Consider the following 26,112-nt stretch of genomic DNA (forward strand, 5'->3'; position numbering starts at 1 on the left):
ATGAAGTGTCCAGAATAGGCAAATCCACAAACATGGAAAGTAGATTACTGGTTGCCAGGAGTGGGGTGTGGGAGGAAAGAATGGGAGGTGACTGCTAAGGAGTATGGGGTTCTTTTGGGATAATAAAAGTATTCTGAAACTAGATAGTGATGATTGTTGCACAACCTTGTGAATATACTAAAACCCATTGAATCGTACACTTCAAAAGAGTGAATGGTATGATATGTGAATTATGCCTCAATAAAGCTGTTACTTAAAAAAAAAATATATATATATATATATACACACACACACACACACACACACACACACACACACAACCCTAGGTCCAGGGCTCAAGCTATGAAACAGCTGCAGTTCTTTCAGAAAGGTGACTGAGCCAGCCCCAGCTTGCAGCAGCTGATCTCAGGTTGGCAGTCTTAAGAAGTGGGCTTTGCTAAAATCAACCTGCCCTCTGACCCCATTCCAGCAGGGGATTTGCATTGTAATATTCCAGTTTAAATTAGAGGATGGGACCAGGCACGGTGGTACACGCCTGTAATCCTAGAACTTTAGGAAGCTGAGGCAGGCAGATCGTTTGAGCCCAGGAGTTCGAGACCAGTGTGGGCAAGCTGGTGAAACCCCATCTCTACAAAAAACAAACAAACAAACAAACAAACAAAAAAACTCAAAATTAGTTGGGCATGGTGGCGTGCACCTTTAGTCCCAGCTACTCTGGAGGCTGAGGTGGGAGGATCACTTGAGCCTGGGAGGTCGAGGCTGCAGTGAGCCCAGATTGTGCTACTGCACTCCAGCCTGAGTGACAGAGGGAAACCCTGTCTCAGTAATTAAATAGAGGGCTGGGTGCGTCAGCTCATGTGTAATCCCAGCACTTTGGGAAGTCAAGGCAGGTGGATCACTTGAGGCCAGGAGCTCGAGACCAGCCTGGCCAACTTGGTAAAACCCCATCTCTACTAAAAATACAAAAATTTTTACAGGCGCCTGTAACCCCAGCTACTCCAGAGGCTGAGGCAGGAGAATTGCTTGAACCCGGGAGGTGGAGGTTGCAGTGAGCCGAGATCATGCCACTGCACTCCAGCCTGGGTGACAGAGCGAGACTCTGTCTCAAAAAAAAAAAAAAAAAATTAGAGGATGGGGGCTGAGGAGCATACAAGACTCTCTGGTCAGGGCAGCTCTTTTCTTTCTTTCTGTTTTTCATTTTGGTAGTAACAGATCTGATTCTGCAGCTGATCAAGGATGACACTGGTGAGAACCCTATGAGGGAGTGAAGCAGCCTGGACTCTTACCACAAGAGGGAGGTGTTATAAGAGCAATGCAGAGGTTGGAGTGGGCAGCAGTTGGGGCAGGAGGAAGCCGACTGCTGCCTGGTCTGCAAAGAAGTCCTTTCAAGTCTCTAGGACTGGACTCTTCCTAAGCAAGTCCGGTATGTAGGTGGGTAAGGGTGGTTGTGTGTGTGTGTGTGTGTGTGTGTGTGTGTGTGTGTGTGTGTGTAGGGGATATGGGATATGGTCTGTTTGGAGACAGGTTTTGATTATGATTTTTTATCATCTTAAAAGATCCTTCAACTTTGATTCGTGAAAGAAATTTTGTCACGATTGCTTGCTCTGCTTTTTTGATCTTTACTCCCATGAAGTTTGGGAGAGTACTGGTTACAAGTTGGGAGTGATTTCATACTTACAAATAGGGACTCTGGGTATCCTCTGAAAACGGGATTCTCGGCAGTGGGGGAAACAAGCTCTTTAATGGTTAATGCTGATAGCTGTTGGGTAAGTTTGTGAAACTTTGGGTAAGCGGAAAGGGGCCTTCTGTGATTGGGCCAAGATCCCAGAACTCTGAGAGGTTGAGGAGTGAGGATCCCTTGAACTCAGGAGTTTGGGACCAGCCTGGGCAACATGATGAAACCCTGTCTCTACAAAAAATACAAAAAATTAGCTAGGTGTGGTGGTGCACACCTGTGGTCCCAGCCACTTGGGAGGCTGAGGTGGGAGGATCACCTGAGCCCAGGAGGTCGAGGCTACAGTGAGCTGTGATTGCACCACTGCACTCCAGCCTACATGACAGAGTGAGACCGTGTCTCAAAAAAAAAAAAAAAAAAAAAAGAAGAAAGAAAAAAAGAAAAAAAAAAGAAAATCAAAAAGAAAAGAAAAAACAATTATTGACTTGAGGAATACTTAGCCTGTATGCCCAAGTGGGAAGAAAAGAATGTCATGGTGGATCAGTTCAGGGAGCCATGTGCTGTTTACAGACTTGCTCTTAGGATCAGTGACTAAGCTGACTGGAGTTTATAGACAAACCCATGTCTGAAGATTTTAACCAAAGAAGGGAATAAAGGCTACTTCTTACTTTGCCATGTATTATATTGCAGAGAGAGAGGTCCTCGCTTGAGACAGAAGGAAGTTAAGGTGCACGAGCATGGCCCAAAATAGTGATAAAGAGCTGATAGAAATGATTAAGGATGTTGCAATATGTGGAGTTATGCATACTGTAGAAAAGTGGTGGTGTAATGCACCAGATAATGCACATTCCCATGGCACAGTTTCCTTCTATGAAAGCTCAGGGGAAGAGACAGGGCTCAGGGAGAAAGGCAATATGGCAATAATAAGACAACAACTACCCAAAATAATACTAATATCTAACAATTATGTATTGCTTTACATGCATTAACTTATTTAACCCTCTCAATAAATCACTGAGGTTTCTTTTTCCCATTTTGAACACGAGCACACAGGAACAGAGGCCAGTTCACTTACTCAAGGCTGCAGAACAAGTAAATCTCGAAGCCTGATTTTGAACCCAGGCCATCTGGCCTCAGAGTCTATGCTCATGATTCTATTTTTTATTTTTTTCTTTTGAGAGAGAGTCTCACTCTGTCTTCCAGGCTGGAGTGCAGTGGCATGATCTCAGCTCATTGCGGCCTCTGCCTCCCAGGTTCAAGCTATTCTCCTGCCTCAGCCTCCTGAGTAGCTGGGATTCCAGGCGCCCGCCATCACACCTGACTAATTTTTGTATTTTTAGTAGAGACGAGGTTTCGCTATGTTGGCCAGGCTGGTCTTGAACTCCTGGCCTCAAGTGATCTGCCTGCCTCGCATCCCAAAGTTCTGGGATTAAAAGCATGAGCCACCATGCCTGGCCTCATGATTCTATTTAAGAAAATTTTTTTTTAGGCTGGGTGCGGTGGCTCACGCCTGTAATCCCAGCACTTTGGGAGGCTGAGGCAGGCGGATCACGAGGTCAGGAGTTTGAGACCAGCCTGGGCAATATGGTAAAACCTTGTCTTTACTAAAAAATACAAAAATTAGCCGGGCATGGTGTTGCATGCCTGTAGTCCCAGCTACTCAGGAGGCTAAGGCCGGAGGATCGCTGGAACCTGGGAGGCAGAGGTTGCAGTGAGCTGAGATCACGCCACTGCACTCCAGCCTGGCGACAGAGCAAGATTCCGTCTCAAAACAAACAACAACAAAAACAAAAACACACACACAAAAAACCAATCCTTTTTTTTCTTATTATCTATTTATTAATTTTTCCAAACAGGGTGTTGCTCTGTTGCCCAGGATAGAGTGCGGTAGTGCAATCATGGCTCACTGCAACCTCGACCTCCCAGGCTAAAGTGATTCCCACCCCCTCCCCCCACCGTGTCAGCCTCCAGAGTAGCTGGGACTACAGGCACTCCCCACCATGCCTGCCTAGTTTTTGTATTTTTTGTAGAGATGGGATTTTGCCATGTTGCTCAGGCTGGTCTCGAACTCCTCAAGGAATTCGCCTACCTCAGCCTTCTAAAGTATTGGGATTACAAGTGTGAGCCACTGTGCCCAGCCTCATGATTCTATACTATCCACAAAATCAGGGTTGGGGCAGGAAAGCTCATGCAGAGAGGTTCTTGGAAAGAAAGAAAAGGAAAGGTGTCAGGCCTCTGAGCCCAAGCTAAGCCATCACATCCCCTGTGACCTGCATGTATACATCCAGATGGCCTGAAGCAACTGAAGATCCACAAAAGAAGTGAAAATAGCCTCAACTGATGACATTCCACCACTGTGATTTGTTCCTGCCCCACATTAACTGAGTGATTAACTTCGTGAAATTCCTTCTCCTGGCTCAGAAGCTCCCCCACTGAGCACCTTATGACCCCCACCCCTGCCTGCAAGAGAAAAACCCCCTTTAAATGTAATTTTCCGCTACCCACCCAAATCCTATAAAATGACCCCACCCCATCTCCCTTTGCTGACTCTCTTTTCGGACTCAGCCCGCCTGCACCCAGGTGAAATAAACAGCCTTGTTGCTCACACAAAGCCTGTTTGGTGATCTCTTCACTGGGACGCGTGTGACAAAAGGTAGTCGGAATCATCCAGAGTAGTCTTGTTGGTATCTCCATTTATTAGTGCTCTGTACTTGCCATGTTCCAGGTCTTTGCTCTCACTATTCCCTTTGCCTGAAATGCCCTGGTTCCCAATCTCTGCATGTCAAATACCATCTGTCCTCCAAGGCTCAGCAAATCATACTTCCTTCATTTTAAAGCTCTTTGGTTTTGATGGAACATAGGCAGTGTGAGAAAGAGGAGGGGGAGAAAAGGTCAAGATCCAATCATGGAGGGCCTTGTACAACTAAGGTTTTAGATTTAGATTTTCAGTAGGTTGAATGCTATTCAGGGAGTGACATCGGCAGAGCTGCGCTTTAGGGAAATTAACCAGACAGCCCTATGTGGATGAGAGGGGAAGTGAGAGTGACACTGTGGGGTTAGTGAGAAAGCTTCTGTGATAGGCCAATCAAGAGGCATTGAGGAGTCCTTGCATTTAGGGTAGAGAAGGGAGAGGAGGAGCTGGGAGGGGTGAAGGGGAAGGGACGCTGTCTGTGACTGCTGTAGGAGAACGGGAGTAGAGCATCTCAGAAGTGAACGGAGAAGCGTGTGCTTCAAATTGGGTAGTCAGAAGGATTAAACTATGGCTTCTGGCTGTGAGAGACAGGAGCCAAGGGGCAAACGTAGGCCATGGCCTGACCATGAAAAATCAGCTAATTTTTGTATTTTTAGTAGAGATAGGGCTTAGTCATGTTGCCCAGGCTGGTCTTGAAAGGGAAAGGCAGTGTAGTGCAGTGGTTAGATGCAAGGCTTCTGCAGGTGAACACTCTGGAGTTGATCCTGTCTCTACTATTCACTCTGTTTCACCTTGGAAAAGTCACTTAATTCTTGCCTTAATCTGTGCTTCAGTTTCCTCATGTGAAAAGTGGGCATAATAATTGCATACACTGCCAGGCGCGGTGGCTCACGCCTGTAATCCCAGCACTTTGGGAGGCTGAGGTGGGAGGATCACGAGGTCAGGAGATCGAGACCATCCTGCCTAACACGGTGAAACTCTGTCTCCACTAAAAAATAAAAAAAAAAAATTAGCCGGGCGTGGTGGCAGGCGCCTGTAGTCCCAGCTACTCGGGAGGCTGAGGCAGGAGAATGGCGTGAACCTGGGAGGCAGAGCTTGCAGTGAGCCGAGATCGCGCTACTGCACTCCAGCCCGGGGACAGAGCGAGACTCCCTCTCAAAACAAAACAAAACGAAAACAAAAAAAAAACAAAAACAAAATAATTGCATATACCCTCTATTGTGTATATATATTATATATATACACATACATATATTAATATATAACATATATATTATATTAATATATTATATATATTATATATATAGTGTATATATTATATATACACAATAGAGGGTATATTATATATACACATATATACACACATATATAATATATATGTATTATATATACGTATATATATGTGTATATATTGTGTATATTATGTATATATAATATATATGTGTGTATATATAATATATATGTGTGTATATATGTGTATATATAAAAATATATGTGTGTGTATACGTGTATATATACACGTATATACACATATATATACAATGTATACACACACGTATACAATATACACACACACACATATATATGTGTGAAACCATGTGTGTGTGTGTGTGTATATTGTGTATATATATATATGGTTTCACACAGTGCCTGGCAAGGAAAGTTCTCTATAACTGTTCACTATTATTATCGTGTGTCAAGCTGAGGAGTTCTGACTTTATCCTGTGGGTGACAGGGAGTCACAGACAGAATCCAATGAGAGCATGGCACGATCTGAAAGCAATCTTCTTCTTCTTCACTGAAGGCCAGGTTAGGATCTAAGAATCAGATAAAATCATAAGAAAAAAGAATGTGCTAAATATTGCAGTGAGGTCTGAGGAGAAGAGAGAGGAAGCCTTGGGAATTGTCTGCTAATAGGTCCTTGGTGAGCTGTGAGAGAGTTTCCAGAGAGTGATGGGAATGGAAGGTGAAGTGCAAGGAGCTCGTGGGTGGCAAGAAAATAGAGGGCCTGTGCTTGCCCTTTGAATATTTTGGCCATATGGGGAAGAGAGAGGATGGTTATTAAAGGGGTGGCAGGTTAGGATGGTCTTAGGGAGGATGAAAGGCAGAAGAAAGAGGATAGAAGACAATACAGAGAAATTTAGAGCAGAGGTAGCCTCACTGGGCCCTGGAACCCCCTGAGATGACAGGCAAAATGTTGTGGGTAGGAATTAGAGTGTCCAGGTTGAGCAGATCTGGATTTTGGCAGGGAAGCAACGTGTATGCTCATCTGTGGAAGGAGAGCTAGGTAAACATGAGGTTGGGAAATTTTGAAGGCTAGTAAAGATTTGGAACAGGTGTTGTTGCGAAATAATAAGGGAGGAGTCAAATGGAGGCAAACAGAAGGTTTGCCTTATATTGGCGGTGGGCGGGGGGGAGGGGGCGCAGCTGAGATAGGATAACATTGATTTGTTGTATAAAAGTTTGTTTTCTGGTCTTTCTCTAGCACCACTTGGCAGCTGGCAGCTAGAGAACATGGATGGTAAAGGCTTTGGGGTGCTAGTGAAGCACCCCTAAAATGGCCAACTATGAGACCTGTGCTGAATAAGGAGGCAAATGAAACTGTGAGAGGATTGCAGTAATAGAGAGAGACTGAGGAAAAGGAAGGCAGAGCAGGAAGAAAGAAGTAGAGGGGAGTGGGGGGAGGGGAAGAGCCCCAAAGATAGGATGGGGCTGTGCAGAGAGGGCAGTTTCAGCTTTTCAAGGTTTTTTTTTTTTTTTTTGAGGCAGAGTCTCACTCTGTCACTTAAGCTGGAGTGCAGTGGCGTGATCTTGGCTTACTGCAACCTCTGCCTCCCAGGTTTAAGCGATTCTTGTGCCTCCGCCTCCCAAGTAGCTGGGACTACAGGCACTGCCACCACACTCAGCTAATTTTTGTATTTTTAGTAGAGATGGGGCTTAGTCATGTTGCCCAGGCTGGTCTCGAACTCCTGACCTCAGGTGATCTGCCTGCCTCAGCTTCCCAAAGTGCTGGGATTACAGGCGTGAGCCACCGTGCCTGGCCTAGCTTTTCAAGATCTTTGTGGGAGAGTAGCTTCAAGCAATGATGAAGCCCAAGATGGGGATCAGACCTGAAATAAACAGTGGAAGTTCTTAACCTATGCATGTGTGATTATGAAGGTGTTTTCTAGGCTCGACCTCAAAACTCATTAAATAAAATTAACCAGATAGCATAGTGTAGATGAGAAAGGAAGAGACTGACAATATGATGTAAGAAAGCTGAATTCTTATTTACCATAGCAGGAAGTTAATTGAGAATGTCAAAAATTGGTAAATCAAGAAATAGCAGCTTAAGTACTGTGTATAAATAATTTGAGTCAAAGGCAAAAACGTAAAGTAATTGCACAGCTTTTGCAGATGAATGGTTTGTAAAAGCAAGCAGGCCACGCCACTTCGGGTATTTGGACATTTGAAATATTCGAGGCACATTCAGGTTTGGCCTAGGGTTTGGGATTCCGCCAGGTGTATCTCTTCTGCAGGTCTTCTTGCTGCTAGGCATGCGATGGCTGAATAGTAATGCCCGGGGAAACTGTGAGGGCCAAGCTTCTCTCTAATGGGGGAAATACGTTTTCATCTTTGACTGGCAACAGAAAATTACCTTTTAGTCAATAAACAGTCAGGTTGAAGCTCTCTGTGTTACTGTAGTGCACCAGGGAATGCCACTTAGGCAGAACAGAGGCAGCTGGCTAGAGAACACAGAGCTCTCAGATTGGAGAGAGGCAAAGGGCTTCAGAGAAGGAAGGAGAGAGACAGAGGGAAGAGGGGAAAAGGAGAGAAAGAGAAGATGGTGGGGGAGGGAGGAGCAATATATGCCTCTCTCCACTGTTTTCTCCCTTTCACTGTCTCCTTCCACTTTACTTGCCTACACCCTAAGTTGCCCTCTCGCTACTTACTGCCTTCTCTCCTCTCCTTCCCAGACCAGGCTTTTGAAAAAGAGTCTCCACTCGGCTCCACTTCCTGCCCTCCAATTCATGCAGCAGCCCACTGAAGATTGGCTTCTGTGCCCTTCACTGTCTGAGTCTTCCCGTTAAGAGCACCAGTGCCCTCCTATTACCCAGCAGACCTCCTGGTTGCATTGCTGATCCTCATTAAGCCCCCCTTTCCTTGGCTTTCATCAGCTTGCTTTTTCCTACTTCTCTGGCTCATTCTCCCTGCTTTTTTTCTCTCAATTTTTTATCAGGATATTTTTACTTAGTATAACTTAATTTATCTAACATTTATTAAGTATCTGCTATGTGCCATTCACTGGGCCAGGTGCAGACTAATATGTAACCTGGGCTCTCAAGGGCCTTATAGTCTAAAAATGGGGAAGAGCAGTGCAATGAAGTACAGCAGGCATCATGATAAACCCAGGCCACAATGGGGACACTAAGGAGGGTATAGTCAATTCTGTTAGACCATGGGGCAGGTTAAATCAGGGCAGGAAAGTCTCTTGCCTGGACCATTTTTTGTCCCCTCTGTCTAGTACTGTATGTAATCTCTCAGTGCTCACCTATGAAACAGTGTGGCAGCCATTGAGGTGCATTGCTCAGATCACTCAAGAAAATCTGCTATGAGGAGTGAGGTTGACTTCCAGCCTCCAGTTGTGGCACCCTCCGATCTGCTGTGGTATTTACACTGAGGCACGCTCCTCTTGGGCACTGGTCAGCCAATGACCAGAAGGATGGCAGTACTGGAGCTGGACCAGTTCAGCCCAGTGTGGAACTTCTCCAGTGGCAGTCTTTGCTCAGGCTCATGGGCCTGGCTGAGACTTTCTTGGGGCTCTACTACAGTCTAAAGCTCTTCCTATCTTCTCCTCCTTCTGTTCCCCTCTCCTTCCCGAGGTGTCAGATCTGCATTACCACCTATTCCTGTGCCTTCCCCCTTTGTCCTCTGAGGGTGTTTCCCCCATAATCTCTTGCATGTCTAATTTTGTCTTGGTATCTGAACTGACACAGAGGAATAATGATGGGACCTGTCTTGTAGGGTTCTTGTGAGAATTCAAAAAGTTAATATATGTGACATCTTAGAACAGAGCCTGATACACAGCAAGTGCTCGGCAAGGGTTGCAATTTTTTTTTTTTTTTTTTTTTTTTGAGATGGGCAGAATCTCGCTCTGTCACCCAGGCTGGAATGCAATGGCATGATCTCGGCTCACTGCAACCTCCACCTCCCGGGTTCAAGCGATTCTCCTGCCTCAGCCTCCCAAGTAGCTGGGATTACAGGCGCCCACAATCATGCCTGGCTAATTTTTGTATTTTTGTAGAGATGCGGTTTCGCCATGTTGACCAGGCTGATCTCAAACTCCTGACCTCAGGTGATCTGCCTGCCTTGGCCTCCCAACATGCTGAGATTACAGGCATGTGCCAGTGTGCCTGGCCTAGCTATTATTTTTTAATTATCCTTTTGATATGGTTTGGCTTTGTGTCGCTACCCAAATCATATCTTGAATTGTAATTCCTAGGTGTTTAGGGAGGAACCTGGTGGGAGGTGATTGGATCATGGGGGTGGTTTCCCCCATGTTGAGTTCTCATGAGAGCTGATGGTTTTATAAGCGTTTGGTAGTTCCTCTCTTGCTTGCTTTTGCTTTCCTGCCATCATGTGTTTGCTTCCCCTTCTACCATGATTGTAATTTTCCTGAGACCTCCCCAGCCATGTGGAACTGTGAATCAATTAAACCTCTTTTCTTTATAAATTACCCAGTCTCGGGTGGTATCTTTATAGCTGTGTGAAAACGGACTAGTACACCTGTAGATCTCAACTTATATTTTATTCTCTCTAGGAAGCTTCTCAGACCTCTCTAAACTGCCTTAGAAGCCTCTCCTGAGTGTTCCAGCAGCCTCCTGTTTTTACTTCTGTTATAATGCATTGTTGTCAGTCTTCATAATGAGACTGTGAATTCAATGAAAAATGGACTATGTATTGTTCACTCTTGTGTATCAGTGCCTAACACTGTGTCTGACTCAAGTAGTTGTTGAATTAATGTTTGCTGAATGAAAGTGATGATTAGGCTGAGACTTAAAAGATGAGTGTTATGGCTGGGTGTGGTGGCTCATGCCTGTAATCCCAGCATTTTGGGAGGCCAAGGTGGGTGGATCACCTGAGGTCAGGAGTTCACGACTAGCCTGGCCAACATGGTAAAAAACTCTCTCCCTACTAAAAATACAAAATTAGCCCGGCTTGGTGGCACGTGCCTGTAATCCCAGCTACTCGGGAGGCTGAGGCAAGGAGAATCACTTGAACCCAGGAGGCGGAGGTTGCAGTGAGCTGAGATTGCGCCATTGCACTCCAGCCTGGGCAAAAAGAGTGAAACTCTGTCTCAAAAAAAAAAAAAAAAGAAAAAAAAAAGAGTGTTATTTGCCAAGTAGATGAGGGCTACTTCTTTCCAGTAGAAAGAAGTGTATGCAGAGGCGTAAAAAGCCTGTGCTTTGCAGGGGACTGAAAGTTGTTTGTTTTGGCTAAAGAGTAGGATGCAAGAGAGAAGCCTAAGTAGCCAGAGTGCTGGGGACATTCATGTCAAACTAAGGAGTTTGAATTGCATAGACTAGCCTCATGCAGGCGTTGTGGTATAGGCCTTATGATGCTAGCGGGCCCATACCCATATTTGACCTCTACCTATGTTGTTATGAATTATGTTAGTTCAGCCAACATGTATAGATTACTAAAAAATGGTGGACTTTGCTCCAGAATTTCATATAGAAACATAGGCATCTGTGAACACTCATTTCAACAATGCTTCTGATTGGTCTAGGTTTACAAATTGCTTTGGCTGCAATAACTCACCCAAACTATTGGATCTCCTAATGGATCTCACTGCCTTCACCACACCTGTTTCATCTATCCTCCACTGCCATTGTGAGACAAATCTTCCTAAAACTTAATCTGGCCACCTGACTCTAGTAGCATACTCTGTTTAATGTCTTCTAGTAGCATACTCTGTCCACAGGATAACATCCAGATTCCGTAGTGTGGCTTACAAGGCCTTTCATGATTTGGCCCTTCACTACCTCATCTCCAGTCTCTTCTTATGTATGTTCTGCTCTGCACTCATGCAGAATTGTTTATAGGTCTCAAGAAGTTCTGTGCTGCTCACGACTCCCTTCATGTACACATTGTTACTGCCTGGAATGTTGTCATCCTTATCCACTTTTTGAACTTACTTATCCTATTTGGTAGGAAGTAGTACCAAAATCATTCCTTCTGTGCTAGGCTATCGGTCATCTTCCTTTGTAGACTGTGTGTATACTTCTGTTATGGCACCTTTCACACTGCATTGGATTTGTTTGGTTACCTCACTGACTTCCCTCTCTAGACTGTGGCCCCTTGAGGGTAGGACTAAGTATTAATCAATAAAGAGTCCCTATCACCTAGTGCAATGCCTGGCACATGGCAAATACTGAATAGATATATTGGTTAAATAATAAGGAAGGAATAAAATGTTTTCTTTCTATTGAAAGAGAAGGAAGCACCCTCACTATGTGGCTCTACCTGGCGGCCTTCGTGGGCCTGTACTACCTTCTGCACTGGTACCGGGAGAGGCAGGTGGTGAGCCACCTCCAAGACAAGTATGTCTTTATCACGGGCTGTGACTCGGGCTTTGGGAACCTGCTGGCCAGACAGCTGGATGCACGAGGCTTGAGAGTGCTGGCTGCGTGTCTGACGGAGAAGGGGGCCGAGCAGCTGAGGGGCCAGACGTCTGACAGGCTGGAGACGGTGACCCTGGATGTTACCAAGATGGAGAGCATCGCTGCAGCTACTCAGTGGGTGAAGGAGCATGTGGGGGACAGAGGTATGAAATATTTTCTCCTTTTATTTACTTAGCATGAAGATGCTAAGGTTATATATACAGTTGTTCCTTGGTGTCTCCTGGGGATTGGTTCAAGGACTGCTTGTGGATACTAAAATCCGAGGATGCTCAAATCCCTTATATAAAATAGTGCAGTATTTGGTTATAACCTATGCACATCCTTTAAGGTATGGATACTTTAAATCATGCCTGGGTTACATAAAATACTAAATACTTTGTAAATGATATGTAAATAGTAGTTATACTGTATTGTTTAGGGCAGCCGTCCCCAGCCTTTTTGGCACCAGGGACCGGTTTTGTGGAAGACAGTTTTTCCATGGACAGGGAGTGGGGATGGTTTTGGGATGATTCAAGTGCATTGCATTTATTGTGCACTTCATTATATTATTACATTGTAATATATAATGAAATAATTATACAACTCACCATGATGTAGAATCAGTTGGAGCCCTGAGCTTGTTTTCCTGTATCTACATGGTCCCATCTGGGGGTGATAAGAGACAGTGACAGATCATCAGGCATTAGATTCTCAACAGGAGTGCATAGGATATATCCCTGGCATGTGCAGTTCACAATAGGGTTAGTGCTCCTGTGAGAATCTACTGCTGCCACTGACCTGACAGGAGGCGGAGCTCAGGCAGTAATGCCTGTGATGGGGAGTGGCTGTAAATACAGATGAAGCTTTGCTTGCTTGTCTGCTGCTCACCTCCTGCTGTGTGGCCTGGTTTCTAACAGGCCATGGGCTGGTACCAGTCTATGGCCCAGGCACTGGAGACCCCTGGTTTAGGGAATAATGACAAGGAAAAAAGTCTGTATATGTTCAGTACAGATGCAAATTAAAAATTGTGTTTTCTATCCACAATTGATTGAATCCATGGATATGAAGGGCTGACTGTGTGTATCAAAGCTGAGCTTAGAAGGCTGGCCTCGTCATTTGAAGGACTGTTGAGGTCTTTTGTGGCGTTTCATTTCCTTAACAATGTTTATTTTGTTGTTGAAAAATAAGCTCAATAGATTTGAAGCTATTATCTCATATTGGAAGTAGAGTATTTATAAACATAATTCTTTATATTTGAGGAGTTGGGGTACAGTGGCATGATCATAGCTCACTGCAGCCTTGATCTCCTGGGCTCAAGCAATCTTCCTGCCTCACCCTTTCAATTAGCTGGGATTAGAAGCGGTTGCCACCATGCCTGGCTAATTTTTTTTTATTTTTATTTTTAGCAGAAACACGGTCTTGGTATATTGCCCAGGCTAAGATGTTCTTAAGAATCTGATTATCTTGGCTGCTACTTAAAATATAGGCATTTCTTGAAGTCAATCTTTGGTCTTCTTTAAAAAATGTTTTAAAATTTCATTATATTTAAAAATCAACACACTATTTCTTAGAGAAATTTTAGGTTTATAGAAAATTGAACAGAAAGTACAGAGTTCCTATATACCCCCTCAACAATTTTCCCTTTTTTTTTTGAGACAGAGTTGTTACAATTGATGAACCAATGTTGATATGTTATCGTTAACTAAAGTCCATAGTTTACATTAGGGTTCACTTTGTATTATATAGTTCTGTGGGTTTGAACAAATGTGTAATGACAAGTAGCCACCATTATTGTATCACACAGAATAGTTTCAGTTCCCTAAAAGTCCCTCGTGCTTTACATATTCATCACTCCCCACATTCCTGGCAACCACTGCTCTTTTTACTGTCTCCATAGTTTTTCCATTTCCAGATGTCATATAGTTGGAATCATATTTTTTTGAGACAGAATTTCACTCTTGTCACACAGGTTGGAGTGCAATGGCATAATCTCGGCTCACTGCAACCTCCACCTCCCGGCTTCAAGCGATTCGCCTTTCTCAGCCTCCCAAGTAGCTGGCACTACAAGCATGCACCACCATACCGGGCTAATTTTTATATTTTTAGTAGAGATGGGTTTTCACCATGTTGGCCAGGCTTGCCTCGAACTCCTGACCTCAGGTGATCTGCCCGCCTTGGCCTTCCAAAATGTTAGGATTACAGGCGTGAGCCATCGCGCCCGGCTGGAATAATGTTATATGTAGTCTTTTAGACTGGCTTCTTTCACTTAGCAGTATGCATTTAAGATTCCTTCATGTCTTGCCTTTTTTTTTTTTTTTTTTGAGACAGGATCTTGCTCTGTTGCCCAGGCCTGAGTGCAGTGGAATGATCATGGCCCACTGCAGCCTCACTCTCCTTGGTTCAAGCGATCCTCCCACCTCAGCCTCCCAAGTAGCTGGAGTACAGGTACACACCACCATGCCTGGCTAATTAAAAATTTTTTTTCTTTTAGAGACGTCATCTCACCATGTCACCCAGGCTGGTCTTGAACTCCTGGGCTCAACTGATCCTCCAACCTTGGCTTCCCAGTGTTGGGATTACAGGCATGAGCCACCACACCTGTTCTCCATGTCTTTTCATGGCTTCATAGCTCATTTCTGTTTTTTTGTTTGTTTGTTTTGTTTTGTTGAGATGGAGGTCTTACTCTGTTGCCCAGGTTGAAGTGCAGCGGTGCAATAATAGCTCACTGCAGCACTGAACTTCTGGGCTCAAGTGATCCTCTTGCCTCAGCCTCCCAAAATGCTGGAATTACAGGTATGAGCTACTGCGTCAAGCCTGACAGCTCATTTCTTTTTCTCGCTGCATAGTATTCCATTGTATGTATGTACCACAGTTTATCATTCACCTATTGAAGGACATCTTGGTTGTTTTCAGTTTTTGGCAATTATGAATAAATTCTCTTTTTAAGTTCTATTTTGTCTAGATATTATTCAACTCCTCTTTGATTACCTTCTTCTCCTTCTCCCTTGGTTTTATGATTCAGTAGATTCTGGTAATTGGATCTCCTAAATAACTCCTCACTCTAGGAGTTGCAAAGTAGCAATGAAATTGCTTCTTTTGGCTGGGTGTAGTGGCTACACATCTGTAGTTCCAGCTACTTGAGAGGCTGAGGTGGGAACATTGCTTGAGCAGGAGTTTGAGGCTACAGTGGGCTACGATAGCACTTGTGAATAGCCACTAGAGTAGCTGGGACTACAGGGGTGCACCACCATGCCTGGCTAATTTTTGTATTTTTTGTAGACATGAGGTTTCTCCATGTTGCCCATGTTGGTCTCAGACTCCTGGGCTCAAGCCAACCACTTGCCTTGGCCTTCCAAAGTGTAAATTTTTTTTTTTTTTTGGAAATGGAGTTTTGCTCTTGTTGCCCCGGCTGGCGTGCAACGGCATGATCTCCGCTCACTGCAAACTCCGCCTCCCAGGTTCAAGCGATTCTCCTGCCTCAGCCTCCCAAGTAGCTGGGATTACAGGCGCCCGCCACCATACCCTGCTAATTTTGTATTTTTAGTAGAGCTGGGTTTCTCCATGTTGGTCAGACTGGTCTCGAACTCCTGACCTCAGGTGATCCGCCTGTCTTGGCCTCCCAAAGTGCTGGGATTACAGGCGTGAGGCACTGCACCTGGCCCAAAGTGTAAATTTTTTAAAAAACAATTTACTTTAAACTTGAAAATTTACTGATTTGACTAAAAAAATTTTGAAAATCTAAAATGTATTTTAAAATATTACTTCCTTCCAGCACTTTGGGAGGCCGGGGTGGGAGGATTGCTTGAGCCCAGGAGTTCAACACCAGCCTGGGCAACACAGTGAGATACCATCTCAATTTAAAAAAATAATAAAATATTGCTTCTTGTCTGAGGATGTTCTTAACTCCCCCAGGCAGAGTCAGAAGTTATGGGTAGTTATAGTCTCTTTGCTGTGCATACCCGTTTATTTCTATTGTATTGTTATTGTTTTCCCATCTGTTAGACTGTGAGCTCCTTGAAGATATGGGCCTCTCTTACTCATTTTTATATTTCCAACTTCTGGCACCTTGCCTGGTACATGTTAAGGGCTCAATAAATGCTGAATGAATCCTCTATACTCATACTTTTGTCTATTACCCTTTTTATCTGTGCCCTTGGTTTCTTACTCCTCACATTTGAATTTCCAACTACTTGCCGCATTTCTCCATCTGGAAATTCTACTAGTGCCTGAAACTCACAAAATCTAAAGGAGTCTTTGTTTTCCTCTCACCTCTTCACCAATTCTTTTTTGTTTTTTCTTTCTTGGAGATAGAGTCTTGCTGTGTCACCCAGGCTGGAGTGCAGTGGCGCGATCTCAGCTCACTGCAGCCTCTGCTTCCCGAGTTCCAGCGATTCTGCTGCCTCAGCCTCCTAGGTAGCTGGGATTACAGGCACACACCACCATGCCCGTCTAATTTTTGTATTTTTAGTAGAGACGGGGTTTCACCATGTTGGCCAGGCTGGTGACCTCAGGTGATCCGCCCGCCTCGGCCTCCCAAAGTGCTGGGATTACAGGCATGAGCCACTGCGCCCGGCCTTTCTTCACCAATTCTACTTTTCTTTCTAGTCCTTCTCTCAGTTTATAATGTTACTATCCCTTCAGTTACAAAGACTTTTTACCTTGGAGTCTTTTTCTTTTTTTTTTTTTTTTTTGAGACGGAGTCTCACTCAGTCGCCCAGGCTGGAGTGCAGTGGCGCAATCTCGGCTCACGGCAAGCTCCGCCTACTGGGTTCACGCCATTCTCCTGCCTCAGCCTTACAAGTAGCTGGGTCTACAGGCGTCCGCCATCAGGCCCGGCTAATTTTTTTGTATTTTTAGTGGAGACGGGGTTTCACCGTGTTTGCCAGGATGCTCTCGATTTCCTGACCTCGGGATCCGCTCGTCTTGGCCTGCCGAAGTGCTGGGATTACACGCGTGAGCCACCGCGCCCGGCCACCTTGGAGTCTTTTTTAATCCTTATACTTTCAACTTTTCTGTGTCTCTGTATTTTATGTGAGCCTCTTGTAAGTAGCATATAGCTGATATAAAAACTAATCCAATCTGACAATTTTTTTTTTTAGTAGAACATTTCTTTCATCTATACTACTTTATTATTATTATTTTATTTTTTTTTAGAGGCAAAGTCTCACTCTGTCATCCAGGTTGGAGTGTAGTGCCACGATCAGCTCACTGTAATGTCGAATTCCTGGACTCAAGCCATCCTCCCACCTCAGCCTCCTGAGTATCTAGGATTTCAGGTGTGCACCACCACACTTAGCTAACTTAAAATAAAAAAGTTTTGTAGAGTGGGTCTCACTGCATTGCCCAGGCTGGTCTCAAACTCCTGGTCTCAAGTGATCTTAATGCCTCAGCTTCCCAAAGTGTTGGGATTACAGGCATGAGCCACTGAGCCTGGCCTTAATTATTATGTTTGGATTTATTTCTTTCATCTTATTTTGTGCTTTTTATTTGTCCCATTTTTTCCTGTTTCCTTTATGCTCTTTTGAATTGATTGAATTTTTATTCCACTTTTTCCACTACTAAATTGAAAGTACTATAATATTCTCTATTTCTGTTTCCCTAGTAGAAATTTTAAGTGCATATGTGGTTTATCAAATGTAAAATTAACATCTTTACCTTTCTCCTGAGTAATCCAAGGCCCTCAGAACACTCACATTTCAGTCATCCTTCCTGACATACATGCTCTTGCTGCTGTGTATTTCAGTTCTGTTTTTTGGCTCTCCAATATGCAATGTTTGTTTAGATTTATCCTCTTTTTACCTTTTTTTTTTTTTTTGCTCATTATTCCTTCTTGAATTTTCCATCTAAAATTGCTTTCTTCGTTACCGAATATATGCCTAAGAATTATAGAAGATGCTGGGGCAAAATCTTTTTTTTAAAAAAAAATTTATTAAAATGTCTAATTACCCTCATTCTTGAAAGATAATTTTGCAGATAGGCTAGTCTATGTTAATAATTACTTTCTCTTGGCACATTGAAGACACCATTCCAGTCTTCTGTCTCCTGTTGTTCATGTCTTGATAAGTCAGTTGTTAGCCTAATTGTTTTTCCTTTGAAAATAATCTGTCTTTCCTTTCTGGCTATTTAAGGATATTCTCTTCTTTGATTTTATTTTTTCTTTGATCTTTATTTTGGTGTGTTTAGGTATGGATTTCTCTGTTTATACTGCTTGGGATTTATTTTTTGGGGGGTGTAAAAAGTAAAGTGGAGGTTCCTCCTCAAAGACTTTCCTCCCCATCTGATTGGGAATAAATAGTGACTTCTCTTAAAAACATAATTTATTCAAAGACCTGTACTAACATTCTTAAATATCTGCTAGCTGTAATAAAGAAATCAATGTACTTTATGTTCTTAGCTCCCACAATTTAACCTAAATATTTGCCCTGGCGTGCTTATACTGGTCCAAACAAGCATTAGGTCATAGCCTGTTCCTCTTCCTTATTTGAAGGTGTTTTTACCTTTTTCAACATTCCACAAGTTACTTCCTCCTTCCTTTGTTCTCCTCTGCCTTTGCCTCTTTTAAAAAGTTCTAAGTGAGGCCGGGTGCGTGGCTCACATCTGTAATCCCAGCACTTTGGGAGGCCGAGGCGGGCAGATCACGAGGTCAGGAGATCGAGACCATCCTGGCGAACACGGTGAAACCCCCGTCTCTACTAAAAATACCAAAAAAATTAGCCGGGCGTCTGTAGTCCCAGCTACTCAGGAGGCTAAGGCAGGAGAATGGGGTGAACCCGGGGGGTGGAGCTTGCAGTGAGTGGAGATCCCGCCACTGCACTCCAGCCTGGGCGAGACTCCGTCTCAAAAAAAAAAAAAAAAAAAAAAAATTCTAAGTTGCTAGCCAATCGAGACAAATATAAAATGTGAGGTCCTGCTGCAGTCAGTAAAAACCAGACACAACAATAAAATAGACATGTCAGGTTATAAATGACCCTGTCTCCTTTGTTCAGTATACTCTCATGGCAAATCTGCTGGCAAGTATACCCTTTCCGCAAAAAGTGAAAAAAATGGCCTTACTAAAAAAATTAAATTTATGTTCAAGTGCTATTTCTTTACGACACCAAAAAGCAAACATTTCAAACAGGGGGGCTTCTTTAATCTGTTCATTATCAGTTCTGGAAAATTCTTAGCCATCATTACTTCAAATACTGCCTTTATTCCATTTCCCTCCCTTATTTCTGGATCTTATTAGACATATGTTACATGTTTTTACTTTGGTCTTGCTTCCCTTTTCTTTCATGTTTTTAATCTCTTTATATTTGTGCCATAGTCTGTATATTTTTCTTTACTGTCTTCCAGTTTGCTACTTTCTTTCTTCCACTATGTCTATCTACTATTAAACCTGTCTAACAAATTTTAAAATTTCAATAGTTGTATCTTTTATTTCTGAAGTTTTATTTGGTTCTTTCTCAAATCTGCTTGATCAATTTTATAGTATTTTAATGAATATTTTCAATCCTTTTATTTAAAAATTATATTTAGCAGGCTGGGCGTGGTGGCTCACGCCTGTAATCCCAGTACTTTGGGAGGCTGAGGCGGGTGGATCACGAGGTCAAGAGATGGAGACCATCCTAGCCAACATGGTGAAACCCCATCTCTACTAAAAATACAAACATTGGCTGGGTGTGGTGGTGCGTGCCTGTAGTCCCAGCTACTTGGGAGGCTGAGGGCAGGAGAATTGCTTGAACCCGGGAGGCAGAGTTTGCAGTGAGCTGAGATCGTGCCACTGCACTCCAGCCTGGCGATAGGGCGAGACTTTGTCTCAAAAAAAAAGTTATATTTAGCAAACTTGTATGTTATATCATTTGGGCTGCAAACTCTCATGGGGGTGGTTAGTGGTTATGATTCCTCAAGAGTGATTCTTTCCCCACCAAAGTTCAAAATAGAGTATTTTTGCCTGAAACCAAACTCCTGATATGACTTTTAATTGTTTTAGGACTCTGGGGACTGGTGAACAATGCAGGCATTCTTACACCAATTACCTTATGTGAGTGGCTGAACACTGAGGACTCTATGAATATGCTCAAAGTGAACCTCATTGGTGTGATCCAGGTGACCTTGAGCATGCTTCCTTTGGTGAGGAGAGCACGGGGAAGAATTGTCAATGTCTCCAGCATTCTGGGAAGAGTTGCTTTCTTTGTAGGAGGCTACTGTGTCTCCAAGTATGGAGTGGAAGCCTTTTCAGATATTCTGAGGTAACTTAAGTTAAAACAAAAACAGCTATTGAGCACTGAAATATGTCTTAGGCATTGTGCTAGTTGCTTTCGCCTATCTTATTTCATCACTCCTCAAATCTTGATACATAGATATTATTACTAGTCTATTTTATATAGCTAACAGGCTCAAATTTTCTCATCTGTCCCAGAGTTCACCTACCATAGCCAGAATTTGGCCGAACTGTGTTTTGACCCAGGTCTTTGTCTTCTACCACTATGTCACACTTCAATTCTCAATATTTATTTTTTATTTTTGAGACAGGGTCTCACTCTGTTGCTCAAGCTGGAGTGCAATTGTGTGATCATCATGGTTCATTGCAGCCTCAACCTCCTGGGCTCAAACGATCCTTCCACCTCAACTTCCCTGGTAGCTGGGACTATGGGTGCACGCTGCCATGCCCAGCTAATTTTTTTTTTTTTTTTTTTTATTGATCATTCTTGGGTGTTTCTCGCAGAGGGGGATTTGGCAGGGTCATAGGACACTAGTGGGGGGAAGGTCAGCAGACAAACAAGTGAACAAAGGTCTCTGGTTTTCCTAGGCAGAGTGTTTGTGTCCCTGGGTACTTGAGATTAGGGAGTGGTGATGACTCTTAACGAGCATGCTGCCTTCAAGCATCTGTTTAACAAAGCACATCTTGCACCGCCCTTAATCCATTTAACCCTGAGTGGACACAGCACATGTTTCAGAGAGCACAGGGTTGGGGTTAAGGTCACAGATCAACAGGATCCCAAGGCAGAAGAATTTTTCTTAGTACAGAACAAAATGAAAAGTCTCCCATGTCTACTTCTTTCTACACAGACACGGCAACCATCCGATTTCTCAATCTTTTCCCCACCTTGCCCCCTTTTCTATTCCACAAAACCGCCATCGTCATCATGGCCCGTTCTCAATGAGCTGTTGGGTACACCTCCCAGACGGGGTGGTGGCCGGGCAGAGGGGCTCCTCACTTCCCAGTAGGGGCGGCCGGGCAGAGGCGCCCCTCACCTCCCGGACGGGGTGGCCGGGCGGGGGGCTGACCCCCCCACCTCCCTCCCGGACGGGGCGGCTGGCCAGGCGGGGGGCTGAGCCCCCCACCTCCCTCCCGGACGGGGCGGCTGGCCGGGCAGGGGGCTGAGCCCCCCACCTCCCTCCCGGACGGGGCGGCTGGCCGGGCAGAGGGGCTCCTCACTTCCCAGTAGGGGCGGCCGGGCAGAGGTGCCCCTCACCTCCCGGATGGGGCAGCTGGCCGGGCGGGGAGCTGAGCCCCCCACCTCCCTCCCGGATGGGGCGGCCGGCCGGGCGGGGGGCTGAACCCCCCCCACCTCCCTCCCGGACAGGACGGCTGGCCGGGCGGGGGCTGACCCCCCCACCTCCCTCCCGGACGGAGCGGCTGGCCGGGTGGGGGGCTGACCCCCCCCACCTCCCTCTCGGACGGGACGGCTGGCCGGGCGGGGGGCTGACCCCCCTCACCTCCCTCCCGGACGGGACGGCTGGCCGGGCAGAGGGGCTCCTCACTTCCCAGTAGGGGCGGCCGGGCAGAGGCACCCCTCACCTCCCGGACGGGGCGGCTGGCCGGGCGGGGGCTGACCCCCACCTCCCTCCCGGAGGGGGTGGCTGCCGGGCGGAGACGCTCCTCACTTCCCAGACGGGGTGGCAGCCAGGTGGAGGGGCTCCTCACTTCTCAAACGGGGCGGTTGCCAGGCGGAGGGTCTCCTCACTTCTCAGACGGGGCAGCCGGGCAGAGATGCTCCTCACCTCCCAGACGGGGTCGCGGCTGGGCCGAGGCGCTCCTCACATCCCAGACGGGGTGGCGGGGCAGAGGCGCTCCCCACATCTCAGACGATGGGCAGCCGGGCAGAGACGCTCCTCACTTCCTAGATGGGATGGCGGCCGGGAAGAGGTGCTCCTCACTTCCTAGATGGGATGGCGGCTGGGCAGAGACGCTCCTCACTTTCCAGACTGGGCAGCCAGGCAGAGGGGCTCCTCACATCCCAGATGATGGGTGGCCAGGCAGAGACGCTCCTCACTTCCCAGACGGGGTGGCAGCCGGGCAGAGGCTGCAATCTCGGCATTTTGGGAGGCCAAGGCAGGCGGCTGGGAGGTGGAGGTTGTAGCGAGCCGAGATCACGCCACTGCACTCCAGCCTGGGCACCATTGAGCACTGAGTGAACGAGACTCCGTCTGCAATCCCGGCACCTTGGGAGGCCAAGGCTGGCGGATCACTCGCGGTTAGGAGCTGGAGACCGGCCCGGCCAACACAGTGAAACCCCGTCTCCACCAAAAAAATACGAAAACCAGTCAGGCATGGTGGTGCATGCCTGCAATCGCAGGCACTTGGCAGGCTGAGGCAGGAGAATCAGGCAGGGAGGTTGCAGTGAGCCGAGATGGCAGCAGTACAGTCCAGCTTCCGCTCGGCATCAGAGGGAGACCATGGAAAGAGAGGGAGAGGGAGACCGTGGGGAGAGGGAGACGAGGGAGAGGGAGAGGGAGAGGGAGATTTCTTTATTCTTTAAAATATTCAGTAAAGGTATTTTATAATCTTTTTTGTTTTGCTTTTCCTTCCTGAAAGCATTGAAATGGTGGTGGTCTTTAATCATAACTTGTGGGGTTTTATTTCAGGCGTGAGATTCAACATTTTGGGGTGAAAATCAGCATAGTTGAACCTGGCTACTTCAGAACGGGAATGACAAACATGACACAGTCCTTAGAGCGAATGAAGCAAAGTTGGAAAGAAGCCCCCAAGCATATTAAGGAGACCTATGGACAGCAGTATTTTGATGCCCGTAAGCTTTTTTCTTTTGATAGGGATAATGGGTACCCTGTATTAGTCCATTCTCATGCTGCTATGAAGAAATAACTGAGACTGGGTAATTTATAAAGAAAAGAGGTTTAATTGACTCACAGTTCTGCATGGCTGGGGAGTCCTCAGGAAACTTATAATCATGGCAGAAGGCACCTCTTCACAGGATGGCAGGAGAGGGAATGAGTGCAAGCAGAGGAAAGCCCCTTATGAAACCATCAGATCTTGTGAGAACTCACTACTAAAAGAACAGCATATGGGAACCACCCCCATGATTCAGTACCTCCCACCAGGTCCCTCCCACGACATGTGGAGATTATGGGACTATAATTCAAGATGAGTTGGGTGGGGACACAAAGCCAAACCATATCAGTACCCTTGCATGAGAAGGGGAAAAGAGGGTTGGTGGACAATGATTGGCAGATCCTCTCAGGACAAAGCTCCTTAAATAAAGCATTCCCAGAACAGAAGGAAGTCAGGAAGGTCCCAGTGGTCTCATGGTTGGCTTGGTCTGATGACTATCATGGTTGAGGAGGGGGACATATAGGCGGCCTGGGGCCAGGCTCTTCCCTGCCTTGTCCTCTGTGGGCCAGGGCACCTGAGCACTAGGAGGTATTACATACTTAGAGGCATGGACCCTTGAGAGGGTGTGCCCCTTGGTAGCATTGCAGGGCTGGTGTGAGATGTCTGCTCAACTAAAGTGCAGTCTTCATCATTGTTTACCTTTTGATAACAAAGGGCTTGTCCACAAACTATGTGTCTTAATGTGACAGGAGAAAGCATGTAGGTGGGAAGAGGTAAGTCAGTGAGGATAAGTCTTTGCAGAGCCCTATGGGCCATTCCCTGAGGCTATATTTCTCTTGTTCAGGTGATAGGAGCTTTGTGGGAGTGGGATTTGTCAATTTCCTATAAGAATATTATTCTGAAGACCTGGAGGAGGAGGTAGCAGCAGCGGTGAAAAATGGGAATGACTTCTAATAGGTACAGGGTTTCTTTTTGGGATGATGAAAATGTTCTAAATGTAGATTGTGATGATGATTGCACAACTCTGAATATACTAAAAATTATTGATTTGTACACTTTAAATGGCTGAATTTTATGATATATGAATATCTCAATAATGTTAAAAAAATTTCCAGTTGAAAAAGTATATTCCCATATCTGTGTTGTTCTAAACCTATTTAAAAATCCTCTAGTAACAGAATTAAGTTGTGTGTTTTTTTTTTTTTTTTTTGAGACAGAGTCTCGCTCTGTCACCCAGGCTGGAGTGCAGTGGCGTGATCTTGGCTCACTGCAACCTCTGCCTCCCGGGTTCAAGCAATTCTCTTGTCTCAGCTTCCTGAGTAACTGGGACTACAGGCATGCACCACCAAGCCTGGCTAATTTTTGTATTTTTAGTAGACATGGGGTTTCACCATGTTGGCCATGCCGGTCTCGAACTCCTGACCCCAAATTATCCACCCACCTCGGCCTCCCAAAGTGCTGGGATTACAGGCATGAGCCACTGCACCCAGCCATCAGAATTGAGTTTTGAGGCCAGGCGTGGTGCCTCACACCTATAATTCCAGCACTTTGGGAGGCTGATGTGGGAGGATCGCTTGAGCCCAGGAATTCAAGACCAGCCTGGGCAACATAGTGAGACCTTGTGTCTACAAAAAATAAACAAAATTAGCTGGGCATGGGGATGCGAACCTGTAGTCCCAGCTATGTGGGAAGCTGAGGAGGGAGGATCACGAGCCTGGGAGGCAGAGGTTGCAGTGAGCTGAGATTGTACCACTACACTCCAACCTGGGTGACAGAGCAAGACCCTGTCTCAAAAGAAACCCCAAAAAACAACCAAACAAAAAAAGAAAAATGATTGAGTTTTAAAATTAAAATTAAATAAAATCCAAAATTTAGTTTTTATTCCAGTGCATTAGCTATTGTTTAAGTGCTCAATAGCTACATGTGGCTAGTGGCTATCATATTGGGATGCACATTCTAGATCATTCTATTTTGTAGAAATTAGATGTGGTGAGACTTCTGTGACTGCATGATCTTAAAAATATAAGGAATAAGATTGTTGACCACCATTTCTTTTTTTGTATACAGTTTACAATATCATGAAGGAAGGGCTGTTGAATTGTAGCACAAACCTGAACCTGGTCACTGACTGCATGGAACATGCTCTGACATCGGTGCATCCGCGAACTCGATATTCAGCTGGCTGGGATGCTAAATTTTTCTTCATCCCTCTATCTTATTTACCTACATCACTGGCAGACTACATTTTGACTAGATCTTGGCCCAAACCAGCCCAGGCAGTCTAAAGAAAACTGGGTTGGTGCTTCTTGGAATGAAGGCAAAAATCTGAAATTGTTAGTGTCTCAGTAATCCTGATTTAGAACCCAGGCTTTTTGTAACAATGTGTTTTCTTGCCTAAATTCATTTATCTGGCATCATCAGAGTACTAACATGTTTATATTTCAGATATCCAAAGCTTACCACTTTAGGTGATGAATCTTTACTATTTTAGCCCTTTTTTGATGAGACTATTTGTCTAAAGTGAATCATTTGTTCTTGCCTTATTAAACAGAGTAGATGGAAAACAATTTAACCTATTTTGAAGTCATTTCTTTATGAATATGAATAATTGTTCTATGCTTTAATAATCTATTGTGAGGAAACTACTAAGAAATATGTTGGTGTGTTTGTCCTTACTTGAAATGGGTCTGTATTATGGTACTTTTAATAAATATTTGATTTTTCTTTCTCTTCTCTTTTTGTCAGCAGTCTTTTTTCCCCAATATATTTCTTCCTTTTTTAAAAAGAAATTACTTTTTAAATTTTAAATCAAAATAATGTTATACATATATAGCTAAAAATTCAATTAATATTCAAAAGCTTAAAATGAAAAATGGCAATCCTTGCCCTTATCCTCATCCTTCATTGCTGCTCGTCAGAGGCAAATGGTCTCAACTTTTAGCTATTTCTTCTGGTATTTATCTCTGAACTTCTAAATGATATACTGTTATTTTTTATTAATTTTAGCTATTCTCAATTGACTTTCTGTTATGGTGCAAATTTGGCT

General features: G+C 44.8%; 1 protein-coding gene across 6 annotated transcripts; it reads left to right on the top strand.

The window, feature by feature from the left end:
- The first annotated feature begins 1,332 nt into the window (after positions 1-1,332).
- On the top strand, positions 1,333-25,799 carry HSD17B6 (hydroxysteroid 17-beta dehydrogenase 6). Of its 6 annotated transcripts, XM_024449251.2 has the most exons (6): positions 1,333-1,431; positions 11,843-12,174; positions 19,983-20,241; positions 22,862-23,025; positions 23,911-24,023; positions 25,134-25,799. In XM_024449251.2, the coding sequence occupies exons 2-5, from the start codon at positions 11,862-11,864 to the stop codon at positions 23,952-23,954; spliced, it is 780 nt and encodes a 259-aa protein (XP_024305019.1). In that variant the 5' UTR covers positions 1,333-1,431; positions 11,843-11,861; the 3' UTR covers positions 23,955-24,023; positions 25,134-25,799. The 6 variants fall into 6 exon arrangements, with proteins under 6 accessions (XP_024305019.1, XP_005269265.1, XP_006719735.1 ...); XM_005269208.2 differs by lacking the exon at positions 23,911-24,023; XM_006719672.2 differs by lacking the exon at positions 23,911-24,023 and having other exon boundaries at positions 11,848-12,174.
- The last annotated feature ends 313 nt before the right edge of the window (positions 25,800-26,112 follow it).

This window comes from Homo sapiens, chromosome 12 (assembly GCF_000001405.40).
Source record: "Homo sapiens chromosome 12, GRCh38.p14 Primary Assembly".
NCBI classification, from domain to species: domain Eukaryota; kingdom Metazoa; phylum Chordata; class Mammalia; order Primates; family Hominidae; genus Homo; species Homo sapiens.